We start from the raw sequence: 13,450 nt of genomic DNA on the forward strand, positions 1-13,450 counted from the left end.
TAAAAAACTGGTTCCAGTCCTGGCTCAATCGCCATATTTTTACAGCTCTCTGAACAGGATTGGGTCAGATTCTTTCCAACTCTGCACCACTCCTTAGCAGAGTAGGGATTTTATGTGCTGCCTCCTCTGAAGTGGCATCTCCCCTACCCCCACCCTCCTTCTCTTTAAAGAGAACAGGAGACTCCCTTCTAGAGGGAAGCGCTTGGGACTAGGAAGCAGGAATCCTTCAATGCGTGCTCCCTTCAGTTCCATCATCTAGGAAGAGCAGTGCTTTCTGGGTACAGGGATTCAGATATTTGCTTGGGCCTGGCGTAGCTCAGCCCTGCCCTCTAGCCTTCTTCTGGCTGCCAAGGCCTGACAGAGCTGTGAGTGGGCAGAGTTAAGGCAGGAAGAACCAATCAGGGAGAGAAGCTACTTGGGCTTCGTGCCTCCCTTTTGAACTGTTAGCTCTGAACGGCAATCCATAGAAGACAGCCATGGATTTCATCTTTTAGGAAGCCATTTTCTGGATGAGGTAGCTCGCAACTTAGCCATGATTTGGTCCATCTGCTTTGGCTAGAAAACCAAGACTGAACTTATCTAGATTGGTCAGGGATCCCAGGGATCCTTAGAATATTTTGTGAAAGACCTTACCTTCACCGTCATGCACTCCAGCTAAAGACCAGCACTGTGCCCCTCCCACTTGATATGGATGATTCAGAATGAAGCAGGCTGACTTTAGTTCAAGGCAGTGATTTTTTTTTTTGAGGGGGGCGGGGACTTCAAATTTTGTTAGCAATTGGGAACTGGAAACTGAGCTCTCCCTAGATGGTAGTCCTGCCTTGTATGTGATGAATGGCACCACTAAATATCTCATGATGTTCATGTCCCATTTCTAGACATTTTTCAGTGGGCTGAGGTGTTTCATTTATTTCTGGGGACTCAGCTCTCTCTTCAGGGTGACATGACTGGGATCAATCATTGAAAACTACTGGTGTTCACTGTGTTTCCTCTTCTGACTCTCCCACCTTCTCCAGCACCTCCCTCCTTTGTTGCATCTGATGAAGTACACGTTTCATCTTCAAAATAAAAATTTATTCAATCTGTAACAAGAACATTGAATCTGCACATTTGCGCACAAGTTCACATTTAAAAACAGTGGAGCATATCTGTAATAAAAAAATCTATGATACAAGTGGAACATCCCAACCACCAGGAAGATTAAGGAAGGAGATGAGACCACTCTATATTCTGCTTCAAATGCCTCAAAAATGTCCCAGAGATTCCAGGGAGCACCTGCTTTAATAAAACATGAGCATAAAAGTTTGGGGTGGCTTGGGGCAAAGGTAACAGTCAGAGGAGAGTCTTCTGGACTTGTTTTCCATGTTAGAACAAGTCCTACAAAACAAAGCAGAAAGAAAAAAAAAAAAAAAGAAAAGTAAAGGCACCTTTAGATATGCCAAGCAAACCAAAATCCAACAGAACATAAAAATCAAACATTTCCCTGTGGGCTTACTGATTGGGAAGCACTTCAGGGCCAGTTACCCAGTTTTTAGTTTGGGTATTAGCTCTGCATGTGTACACAGGACGCTGCCACCAGCATTGCTTTGAGGACACAGACGGCAGCACCAGTCAAATGCCTCTTAAGGGATCTTCAAGGTGATTAAGGATGATTCCAGTTTAGAAATCCTATCCTAGACCTCTGGGGCACTGAGAAAATGAGGCTGGTTATCTTCTCATAGCAGGAGCCAGGGCCAGTCACCCTCCATTTCCAGGCTGGAAAAGTACAGAAGCACCTTGCAATAGCTCTTCATGACGTCAAGGGACCCCACACCCTGGGAGAAGGGTTAGGAGTGTGCAGCTTCCTGCTTTGGTGGCAGGCCTTTTCCTAATATGGGTGTCAGAGGAGTTGAGGCAGCAAATATGCTTGTGTCTAATACATGCCTTGATCTTTTAGTTTGGAAGGGAAAACAAAGTCCAAGATGCTTTTAAGTTGGATTGATGCTGAAACAGCTAAAATTTCATCTTATCCACCATCAAAAAGCAAAACAAAATTAAACAAAATGACACTAGCCATTCACCATTACAACCATCACTATAAGACACACCATCACTGAGGAAATGACAACTATTTCCATAGAGAGTGCTGGATGGGAGGGCAGGACACAGACGGAAGTCAGCTTCAGCGTATACCCACTTACTCACAAGGGCTGACCATGATGGCCCTGCTCTGCATGAGGACTCACAGGACAGCCAGGGCACTGATGCCTGCAGGACTGCATGGCCGACAAGATGATGCACATTTTAATATTCAAAATGTAAACAAAGTATCCACAAATAGTCCAAAAAAGCCAAAGAATGGCTTTACTTAAAAATTTTTAAATGCCCTTAAAAGTGACTTTTTGCATAATGCTTTCTTAAAAAAAGAACTCTCACAAAAACATTTTTACCAAACATGCCTAGATCACTTCAGAACTGAAATCCTCAGATGAAACAGGTGAACACTTCTGTGACCTGCTACATCTCAGAAGCTTCTCATAGGAAGCTTTGAGTTTACCCAACAGCATCTGTCTGGGGCCTGTGAGCAGAGTACCTCAGAGCCTGAGGCACTGAGATCTTCAGGCTGTCCTTGGAGCTCTGGGTAGTTTGCAAAATGAGAAAGAGGAACTATCAGTAGGGATAAAGACACAGAACAAGGAAATCCATAACCCTGTCTCAAGCCTCCTCAGAACCAGGAAAATACTAAAGATCCTGAAGAGACTAAGATGATAGGAATGATCCCAAACATTTAGAATCTGAAAGGCAACTAAAATGAGGAGAGATGAATATTACGGTACTATAGTACTACATGTCTACTACAGTATCCATTAGTCCTGGGTGTCTCCAAAAATCAAGAAAGGGTTGGGGTTTCCCTTTCTACTGACCAGGTTCAGCTCAAGTTCTGTATGCTCCTGGGGCTTTTACCCCATACACCAAAACATCAACTGTTTTTATATATGTACATATGTGTACACATGCACATACACTCCTCCAAAATAAGTGAGAGTCTATGGTGGTTTAAAAAGAGAGAGAGAGAGAGGAGAGAGAGAGAGGCAGGCAGGCACTGGGCAAGAGTCAAAGTTTTTCCTATTCATCTTTGCCAGTCTATCAAATCTGCTGCTTCAGGTCAGGTCATGAACAAAAGAAAAGGGAAAGATGCCACTGGAGATTATAAAAGTCTGAAGAGAAGACAGTCTGGAAAGTCCTTGACAGTTCACTGCGCACCTCCCCTGGACACTGCTCAGCTATGTAAATAACCCAGGAACACCCAATTCTGGGAGTCTGAAAAGGCTGGCACAAACTCCTTGGCATGGTTGAATGACAGATATTCTGTAGAAGATGTTTATTTAGGCAGGTAAATTAAATGATAAAAAAAGTAATTATAAAAAGGCAGAAAGACTTTCCTCTGCTCTTGAAAATTTTTTTTCCCCACAGTATTAGTGGGTTTTGTCCCATCTTTGTTGTTATTTAATGCAGTGAGTGAACATTAAACACAGTGGAGGGGAGAAGAGGGAACAGTCCAAAACTTTGGTCCTGCTTGTACCTCTTAGTGTGTGGGATGTCATCATCGTAAGGGGTTACCACAAGTGGATGCCACTCTCTTAACTTCCAGGCAAACCCTCTCCCCACCCTGCCATAAGTTCCTGCCCTTCCCCATCATATTGGTGGTGGAACTGCTTCAAGAAGGCAGGGTATTCTACATGGAAGAGCTCTGGAAATCCATAACCCTGTCTCAAGCCTCCTCACATTGGTTCATACCACCTAACAAAACACTTTACAACACACAAATATCCAGGAATCACAAAACTGAGTGGATGAGATACTTGAACATTCAAGGAGACTACTGAGCAACAGCACAGGGTACACATAATCACTGCACCATAGAGACGCTTTTAGCAAGTGGTTTCTGTCCAACCTGCTTCCTGGCAGGGATGTCAGACCCAGCCTTGGCTTCCACACAACTTCACAGCTCCTCTTAAGACCCAGTGGCCCCAGTCTACCTTTTCTGCATCTTTTGGGTCGCCCTGCCATCTGCCCCCACCAAACTCTGGCCTCTGACATCATGCTGACAGTCTGTGCATTTGTATTTTCCTCAGTGCTGTGATAAGCCAAAAACCTGTCTCCAGTCTATACTCAGTCAATCCTCAGTAACGTGGACATCAACGAAAGCAAATCTGCAAGCCTCTTCAGTTTCAATGAGATGCAGAGGTGTTTCATGCTAGACTAAATCTGTTTTCTGTAAGAAGCTACAAGAGGCTTGTTTATGACAGGCGCTGCTGCGTTAAGGATCTCCACAACAGTAGCAAAACGACAGCATCCTAAATGGAGTCACTGTGGGCACTTGCCCCTGGCTGAGGCCTCCCCTGTGGCCTTCAGCCTCTACTAGGAGCTTCCACTCTGGGCAACTCACATATACTTCCTGGCTGTGGTTGAGATACTGGCAAACAATGTTCTGGGATTTCAGTCTCACAGAGAAATCAGCTTTCAGTCACGCTGTGACCTAATGGGAGCCTTTAGGGGTGTCTCTGAGGAAAAAGTTACTAATGCATAATTTGGCAGGAGCTGGTGATTGGAAGTCTCCATTTAAACAACTACAGCCACCATCAACATATTGTACAGATTCCTATCAACACCCAACACTTTCATTTCTGGTGTCTGTGTTTTCCAGTTGCAACTCTACTCCTTCTTAAAAAGAATAAATCAAAATTACCCTACAACATGAACAAGACACTAAGACAGTGACAATATTATGTACATAAATACTGTGTACAAACTTTAGAGAAATGACAAACCTTCCAGGAAAAGGAAAAAAAAGTGTTAACAGTGATAATACCAAAAATAAAACGTTGCATTCAATGGATGTTAAACATATGTAACAATTCAAATATAATCTATGAAATTTAAAAAAATAGGCAGCATGGGGACAACAGCATGGGGAAGGAAAATAAACTGGAAGAAAATATGGCCATTAAACTCAGAAGGCCCAAAGAATTATTCAAGTAATGGAAGGGTTAAAACCCTACATACATATTCATTTTACAAGAACACACTGACTTTCGATTGCTGCTTTTCAAACATGTCACTGTTGTTTTCAGTTGGGAGGACACTGCAGAGCACATTTTTCTGGCAGGGAGAGCCAAGATGCCCATCTGTGTGGATCCCACCAACCCAGCAGTTTCTGGGCAGCAGCCTCTCCACCCCCAACTTTATGTCTTCCTCCTCTTATCATGCTTTCCTCTACAGAAGACCACTTGGATTTCATTTGGGGTCCTGTTTTAATTTCAAAAATAATTTTCTTGGGAAAAAAACTATATGATAAATTTGCAGAGCCGGCCATTATCATGTCTTACTGTAACGATACACTCTGGAACACCGGAAGACCCTCTTTTAAAGCAAAGCGGAACCTGCCTCCTTCAGGAACTCTAAAGGGCTGCGGCTGGATGAAGGCTGAGAGCCCTCTGACTTCTGGCTGACCTTTAGCCCATTCGATGCCTCAGGTCTGGAAACCAAACCATCATCACAAAGGCAGGGGAACATCTCCAATCCCCAGCTTTATCTCCACCCCTCCGAATCTGCTTCCTTCCCTCAATTAAGAAACCATGCCTTTTCTCAGAGGGCAAAATGAGAAGCAGGTGGCAGCTGACTGAAAAACAGCAATTTGCCTTTGATAAAGGTGTTCTCTGAAAATGACTTTTTTGAGGTTTGATTTTTTTAAATAAAAAATGATAAACGGTCTTGCCATCCAGATCAATCTCTCTTTCCCCTTACATATACACACACATACACACTGAAAAACACCCAAACCCTGCATGCACCAGAAACAGTAAAATGACCAAAATATTATAAAATTAACCAATAAAGTGCATGTTCCTTACATATTACACCTGCCCCTTTTACAAACATTTCTTCTAGAAAGTCACATGTGTAGGCTCAGAATCACATGGTATTATAGAAGGGGTTGGTTGTCCGTTTTTTGTCATTTGCCTTTTTCAGTCTCCTAAGGGGGTGAGTTCTGCCGTGTTGCTGACGGGGTGCCACGGCCAGCCCTGGAGCTGGGCATGCACACTGCAGTCCCTGGGTCTGTAGCACGGGAAGGCCTCCTTCAGAACTAGTCAATTCAAGTCCTGCCCTGGGGAGCAAATACTGCTGACTAGAACCAAATTCTTTGGCATACTGCACAAGGGGCCTCTCCACTGGCTTGCTCTGCACAATACACTCTGTTGTTGTGAGTTGTTCTACAAAAGACTTGGTGGGCTCTGGGTTGTGGGGGGCACCTGGGTTTTCTAGGGACTCTTGGTCCTCCATCGCGTGCATGCCTGAGTCTGTTCTGAGGAAAGGCTGAAGCAGTTTGAGATGAGGGGATTCACAGGAGGCAGGCTCCCTCTCTGGTAAGCAGTCTTTACAGAGGTCCAAGTAACCTAATTTGGCGAGAGAAGCTGAGCGCCTCATTTGGGATGGTTTGGTGAGCCCTGCCTGGAAAACCACTCGAGACTCGATTTCTTTAGCACGCTCCTTCACCACACCGGGGCTGTGGCTGAGACTCTTTATGTTTTCACTACTAGAGCTATGTGGGAGTCGACAGGCTACAGGCAATGGGTCCATTTTCTCCTGTAACTCCCCAGTGTTGTCACCAAGTTTGCTAATTAAACTTAGGTCTGCGCTACTTAGCTGGGAGTCCTTATATGGCACCTCACTGCCACTGGAGAGAGGGCTCTCCTGACTTTCTTCCCAGCTAACCTGTTCTGCAGAGGGCTCATCTGTAGTGCTGCTCTGCTCTGTGAAGCCCTCCAGGTGAACCATAGTCTGGGGATGCAGGTAATCCAAACTGGCAGACAGTAAATGGGTTGTATGACTGACAAAAGGTGCTGCTGTCTCCAGGGCTGTGGACAGGCTGCTGCCTCTGTCTTCAGGGCTACTCAGGATGGAGGTTGGATGGTCAGTGGGTCTGTTGTGCTCAGGGGAGGAAGAATGAGGCAGAGGTAGCACTTGGGGGTGCAGAGAAACCTGGTTGGGGTCCAGAGTCCTGTTTAGATTTTCATCCAGTGTGCAGAGCACAGTGACAGATTTTTCCATGTTCACTTTCCTCAGCCCTTGCTCTCCGCTCTTCTCACTGGTGGCTATTTCACTCCCTGGCCCAGTGTGATTGGGTGATGTAACTATGTGGGTATATTCAATGATTTCTACCCTCTTGGGAAGGGGAAGAGGGACTGCTTGTGTTTCAGACTCCTGGTATGGAATCACAGTCCTCAGATCCTTCAGGACTCCTTCCTGCTGTGTTCCAGTATCTGACCCTGGGCCCTCCTGAGGATCTGGCAAGTGGTCAAACTCCAGCACCCTGGGAGCTGGAACAGTGGCATTCTGCTCAGAATGGGACAGTGAGCCAGCCTCAGACCCACTGTATTTCCCTTTGCCTTTGCTCATTTCTGGTTCCTTGAGGACAAATGAATGTTCTGGGGGGGCTTCATCACTTTTCCCTTTTGGTGCTAGGTCTGCCACAGAAGAATCATTCTTTGAATTCTTACGAGTGGACAATGAGGTACATGTTGGGGCAGCACCATGATGCTCTTGCTCCTGCCGTAAGCGCTCTTCGAACTCCAAGGTGGCTCGCCTCACAGACCCAGGGTACCACTTGGCACCTGGGTGCATCCCTGAGCCCTGGAGCTCTTGTTCCCCCTCAGCTGGTTCCCCTTCTTCCAAGTCTGCTATAGATGAGTGTGTGGTTAGGCAGCCTTCTGGGTTGCACATCCCTGAGTCTTTGGCTAGTTCAGGCTGGGCTGTGCAGGAGTCCTCATCTTGCTCCATATGTCCAGGTTTGTTCTCTGGAGTCTGGGCCCTCTCAAGGAGCAGCTCATGGATGCTGTTCTTCTTTGGTGTATGGCATGGGTTGGGTAAGATGTCTCCTTTCAGTTGAATCTGCCCAACTCCTTGACTGATGGACTCAATTTCAGTGACAATTTCTTTGACTGAAATTGCATTTTCCGAGTGAGACTGCATGAAGATGTCTGGGCTGACCAGTTCTGAAATTGCCTAAGAAGAGAAAGTAGTGAGAAGATTATGGCAAACTGTAGTCTAATTGAAAATGCTGGATTTTCTGCTTATTAATCCTCTGATCCAGGACAACCTATCTGACTAAGAGAATACAAATCATGGAGTGCCTGGGACCACACTCTGCCCATCTGTTTTGTCAGACTACAAGAAAAAACTGGATTCATCAAGGCTAGACATAACATTTGTTATAGCTTGTGTTACTCTCTACTAAACTTTCTGTTCTGTTTACTCAAGCAGAATTCCAATCCAATACTTTGCTCCCAAATGAACAGCAAATATTTTTGGAGGCTCCTATAATCTATATTTTCCTAAGACTATGAGCCTCCAGGTTCAGGCCATACTATAGTAAATGAAACCTTTCCCCCGTGGCCTATCAACTTCTAGTTTGATCCTAACCTATCTGAGGGAAAGAGTTCCATTTAAGGGCTAAGATATGTCCTTAGATATGTCCCAGTGATAGAGCAAGATGGACGAGGCTATCACCTGATGTCTGATTTGGAGACTCACTGCTCTCTTTCACTCCTCTGTCTTGCTAGCTTTCACCCAAATCCTCTCACTGCTTCCCCTAGCAGCAACATCCCAGTACCTACAAGCAGGGAGAATGCACTGTCTGACTACATAATCTCTAAGTTTCACATGGTTCCTTCTGGGAAAGGTTTACTTGGCTTACACAGCCACATGCCTTAGCAAACTTAGAAACCATAACTCTCTAATATTTTACTATTTTACCAGCTATAAATTCCCAGGTGGATTTAGAACAAGGCCAAAGAATACTGACCAATGCAAAATCAGGTCCTACTGTAAAAAAAACAAAAGAATATCAAAATCTGGGAATAGCCCTTGGACACCTCTTAAAGTAGTATCATTATGAGTATCAATCTAGTTAACATTTTTATAAGCCTTCAAAGTATATTTCCCTGGAACTGTTCTGGTTTTTCTCCCTCAAAAGAGTCAGAGTTAGTACAATCTAACAAGGTCAGTAATGCCTTTGGGGGAAATGTGCCATGACATCAGGCAGAGGCAAACTTGCCATGAATGGGAGAGAAGCCACAGTGGGCCCAGTATGTGCATGGGCCATGGAGGGAGGGCTCATATGACCAGGGACTTTGCAGAAAGGCTATTTCTGTCAGTGCTGCTACAGTCAATGGTCCAAAGGAGAGCACAAGCATCCTGCCTTCTCAGTAGAAAGGAAACAGGGGCACAGCTTTGCATGTGGTGAAAAGACAAAAGCAGAGTCAAGAATCACAGTGGGGTAGTTAAGGAGAGAGAACAAATCGTTAACGGACAAAGCGGTAAATATAAGCAGACAGACATCAGGAGAGGCAAAGAATCTATGACTAGCTCCACTAATCATTAGGTGAAGTTTGGTATGTTAGAGTCAATCTGTCACAGTTTATTTCCCAACTACTGTATTGTAATGATTTAAGACACTGCTGTATATAAGATGTCAGAAGTGTCAAAATATGAGTATGAGTCTTAGAATTGATGCGATATAGTGATTCTTTTCCTGGTTTGAGATGGCTTGTAAGAGCTCCTATGCCACAAAGAAGAATCTTAGGATTCTGTCTGCTGGCAAATTCATTTCCTTTTGATTATTATTATTATTATTATTATTTTTTGAGACGGAGTCTCGCTCTGTTGCCAGGCTGGAGTGCAGTGGCATGATCTCAGCTCACTGCAACCTCCACCTCCCGGGTTCAAGCGATTCTCCTGCCTCAGCCTCCCAGGTAGCTGGGACTACAGGTGCGCGCCACCACGCCCAGCTCATTTTTGTATTTTTAGTAGAGATGGGGTTTCACCATGTTGGCCAGGATGGTCTTGATCTCTTGACCTCGTGATCTGGCTGCCTCAGCCTCCCAAAGTGCTGGGATTACAGGCGTGAGCCACTGAGCCTGGCCTTCCCCTTGATTCTTGAGTACCACAGCATTGGAGATGAAGAAGTCAGGTACATTATTATTATGATATTGTTTGAGACAGTCACACTCTGTCATCCAAGCTGGAGTACAGTGGCACGACCTCGGCTCACTGCAATCTCTGTCTCCTAGGTTCAAGTGATTCTCCTGCCTCAGCCTCCTGAGTAGCTGGGATTATAGGCATGCGCCACCACACCCCAGCTAATTTTTGTATTTTTTGTAGAGACAGGGTTTCACCATGTTGGTCAGTCTGGTCTCGAACTCCTGACCTTGTGATCCGCCCGCCTTGGCCTCCCAAAGCACTGGGATTACAGGCGTGAGCCACCGCGCCCGGCCAGCACATTATTAATAGCAGGAACTCAGCATGGGAAGCAGTTGCTACTGTAACAACTATTCACACATGTCTAGTCTTTGACTTTTCTGAGACAATAAGAATTTCCCAAACAAATCTATCTTCTCAGAGACACAGCTCTCACTCAGGCAGCATCTGAGTCCCTGGCATTTTTTTGTTAAGATCTGATATTAACTGCGTATCTTTGGACTTCTTTTTTTTTTTGAGACAAGAGTCTTGCTCTGTCGCCCAGGCTGGAGTGCAGTGGCACAATCTCGGCTCACTGCAAGCTCCGCCTCCTGGGTTCACACCATTCTCCTGCCTCAGCCTCCCGAGTAGCTGGGACTACAGGCGCCGCCCGCCACCACACCTGGCTAATTTTTTGTATTTTTTAGTAGAGACGGGGTTTCACCGTGTTAGCCAGGATGGTTTCGATCTCCTGACCTTGTGATCCGCCCGCCTTGGCCTCCCAAAGTGCTGGGATTACAGGTGTGAGCCACCGCGCCTGGTCATCTTTGGACTTCTCGTTGTTCAGCCAGGACACTTGTTTTTGGCTCACTCCTTCCTCTGTCATCCCCTCTTAGAAGTGCTTCCAATGACACCAGAAAGGTAAATTCCCAAAAGGCAAATTATTTAAAAAATATTTAAACCCTAAGTTTTCAAAGAAAACCTCAGCCAGACTCTCCATCAAAAACAAACATAACATAATCCCAAATAATTTACCTTTGAAGAGAACTTCATTAGGCGGAAAACTATAAAGACAGTTTTTACCTTTGACTGTTCCTCATCCATTGAAGATTCTTCTGATGCATGGGGAGTATTACTCAAAGAGCTGCTTCTCTGGTCATCAGCTGTCACTTTGGAAGGGGCTACTTCTACCACTGACAGTCGACAGCTCTCATTCCTTCCTCCACCCAGTTCCTCCATCCTTGAATGGGAAAAAGATCGTGACCGGGTTTCTTGGGAGAGCTCCACAAACTTCTCTAGGGCACTAAAAAAGTCAATGCGATCTGTACTGAAATCTGAGATTTCAGTCTGGCAACTGGGTTGGGGGCTTGGTGACTCAGGATCAGGGGACATGGGGGGGTCTTTCAGTGGAGATGTCAATTCTTCCATAGGCAGTAGGTGGACATTCATGTCTGCTTTCAGTGCATCTGTCTCCAAATCTTCCACTGTTAAGTCTGGAAACTTGTTGGCCATTTCTGGGACATGTCCAGGCTGAATTAAGGCTTTGGATGCATGGCAATTGTCAAGAGGAAATTTTGATTCATTCAGACAACACCCTGATGAGCATCCATTGATGTCATTTAAGTTTAATTCATCCTCAATCTGTCCAGCATGAAATTCCCTAGAAGTAAACTCCAAGCAGATCATTCTTTCTTTGGTACACAGGCCTTTCTGATTTGCATCTTGTGGGACCATATGTTCCACAAAGACAGGAGGTATGGGTGGGTGACTCTCCATGGTCTTCACCTCAGCAATCTGGTCTGCTGAGGTGGTGATATCCTTCTTGTTGAGTTCTAGCCCAGGTTTGCAGATGGGTTCGTGGTGGTCTGAGAGGTCACTATCTGAATGAGATCTCCATAGTTTGTTATGCCGCTGTTTGCTGTGGAGGACATACACAGGAAGTATCTTAATCTGGTTTGTAAAGATAATCAACACCCTCCCAGGAAAACACTCCCAGATAAATCTTAACTTGTAAAAATGCTTTGTTATTGCTCAATGGAACTAGGCAATAAACGTTTGAAAAGACAATTTAATAGCAAAAAACAAAGCAAAACAACAACAAATGAGTGTGAGTTTTTTTTACCTATCAGTCTGACAGGAATTAAAATGGTTGGTAACAGCCAGTGTTGATGATGGTATGGCTAAACAAGCCCTCTCATATACTGGTAGGAGGAATGTGAATTCAGAATTTTTGTTTTTTGTTTTTTTCAGAGTCTCGCTTTGTTGCCTAGGCTGCAGTGCAGCGGCTTACTGCAATCTCTGCCTCCCAGGTTCAAGCAATTCTCCCACCTCAGCCTCCCGAGTAGCTGGGATTACAGGAACATGCCACCATGCCTGGCTAATTTTTGTATTTTTAGTAGAGATGGGGTTTCGCCATGTTGACCAGGCTGGTCTTGAACTTCTGACCTCGAGTGATATGCCCACATTGGCCCCCCACCACACCCAGCTGAACTGTAGATTTTAAAGACTGAAATCTGGCAATAGCTCTCCAAATTTAACCCTTTAACCAACAATTCTTCCTTAATACATTTTTCTTGGAGGAATACTACTACAAGTACACACAGATATCCATATGGCCAGGTAAGGTGGCTCACGCCTGTAATCTCAGCACTTCATGGGAGGCCGAGGCGGGCAGATCGCTTGAGCCCAGAAGTTCGAGACCAGCCTGGGCAACATGGTAAAACTCCATCTGTACAAAAATATAAAAAATTATCCAGGTGTGGTGGCGTATGACTGTAGTCTTAGCTACTCAGGGGGCTGAGGTGGGAGGATTGCTTGAACCCAGGAGGGTGAGGATGCAGTGAGCTGAGATTGTGCCACTGCACCCAGCCTGGGTGACTGAGTGATCCCTTGTCTCAAAAAAAAAATAAAAAATAAAAATAAAGAAAGATATATACAGATATTTACTGGCCGGCTGCCGTGGCTCATGCCTGTAATCCTAGCACTTTGGGAGGCTAAGGCGGGCGGATCGCTTGAGGTCAGGAGTTCGAGACCAGCCTGGCCAACATGGTGAAACCCCGTCTCTACTAAAAATACAAAAATTAGCTGGGAGTGGTAGCGGGCACCTGTAATCCCAGCTACTCGGGAGGCTGAGACAGGAGAACTCCTTGAACCCGGGAGGCAGAGGTTGCAGTGGGCCGAGATTGCACCAATGCACTCCAGCCTGGGTGACACAGCGAGACTCCATCTCAAATAAACAAACAAATAAACAAAAAAAGATATTTACTATGACACTATTTGTGATACTAAAAGATGAGACACCAAACAACAACAAAAAAGGATTTACATTATAATCCATACAACTATATGCTGTGGAGCTGTTAAAAGCTGTCAGGTCTACAGAAATCTTCTGTGGTAAGAAAAAAAAAAAACTAAAAGGAAAAAAAAAACCTGTCAGGTATTTTAGTGGAAT

General features: G+C 45.0%; 1 protein-coding gene across 11 annotated transcripts in view, besides 1 other annotated feature; it reads right to left on the reverse strand.

The window, feature by feature from the left end:
* The window catches only part of SSH2 (slingshot protein phosphatase 2), a 304,291-nt gene continuing 291,893 nt past the window's right edge, over positions 1,053 to 13,450 (reverse strand). For all 11 annotated transcript variants that reach the window (XM_047436967.1, XM_005258058.4, XM_047436968.1 and 8 more), the window contains 2 exons: positions 11,083 to 11,917; positions 1,053 to 8,046 (listed from right to left, as the gene is read on the reverse strand). In XM_047436967.1, coding sequence (XP_047292923.1) covers positions 5,956 to 8,046; positions 11,083 to 11,917 — 2,926 coding nt within the window. In that variant the 3' untranslated portion in view covers positions 1,053 to 5,955. The remainder of the gene's footprint in view (positions 8,047 to 11,082; positions 11,918 to 13,450) is intronic.
* Positions 9,045 to 9,609: an enhancer, noted in NCBI's record as "NANOG hESC enhancer chr17:27960948-27961512 (GRCh37/hg19 assembly coordinates)". NCBI's record gives its function as "activates a minimal SCP1, AML or CMV promoter by ChIP-STARR-seq in primed H9 embryonic stem cells {active_cell/tissue: H9 hESC(primed)}" and the evidence as "EXISTENCE:reporter gene assay evidence [ECO:0000049][PMID:30033119]".

The sequence above is a fragment of the Homo sapiens genome, chromosome 17 (assembly GCF_000001405.40).
Source record: "Homo sapiens chromosome 17, GRCh38.p14 Primary Assembly".
Lineage (NCBI taxonomy): Eukaryota > Metazoa > Chordata > Mammalia > Primates > Hominidae > Homo > Homo sapiens.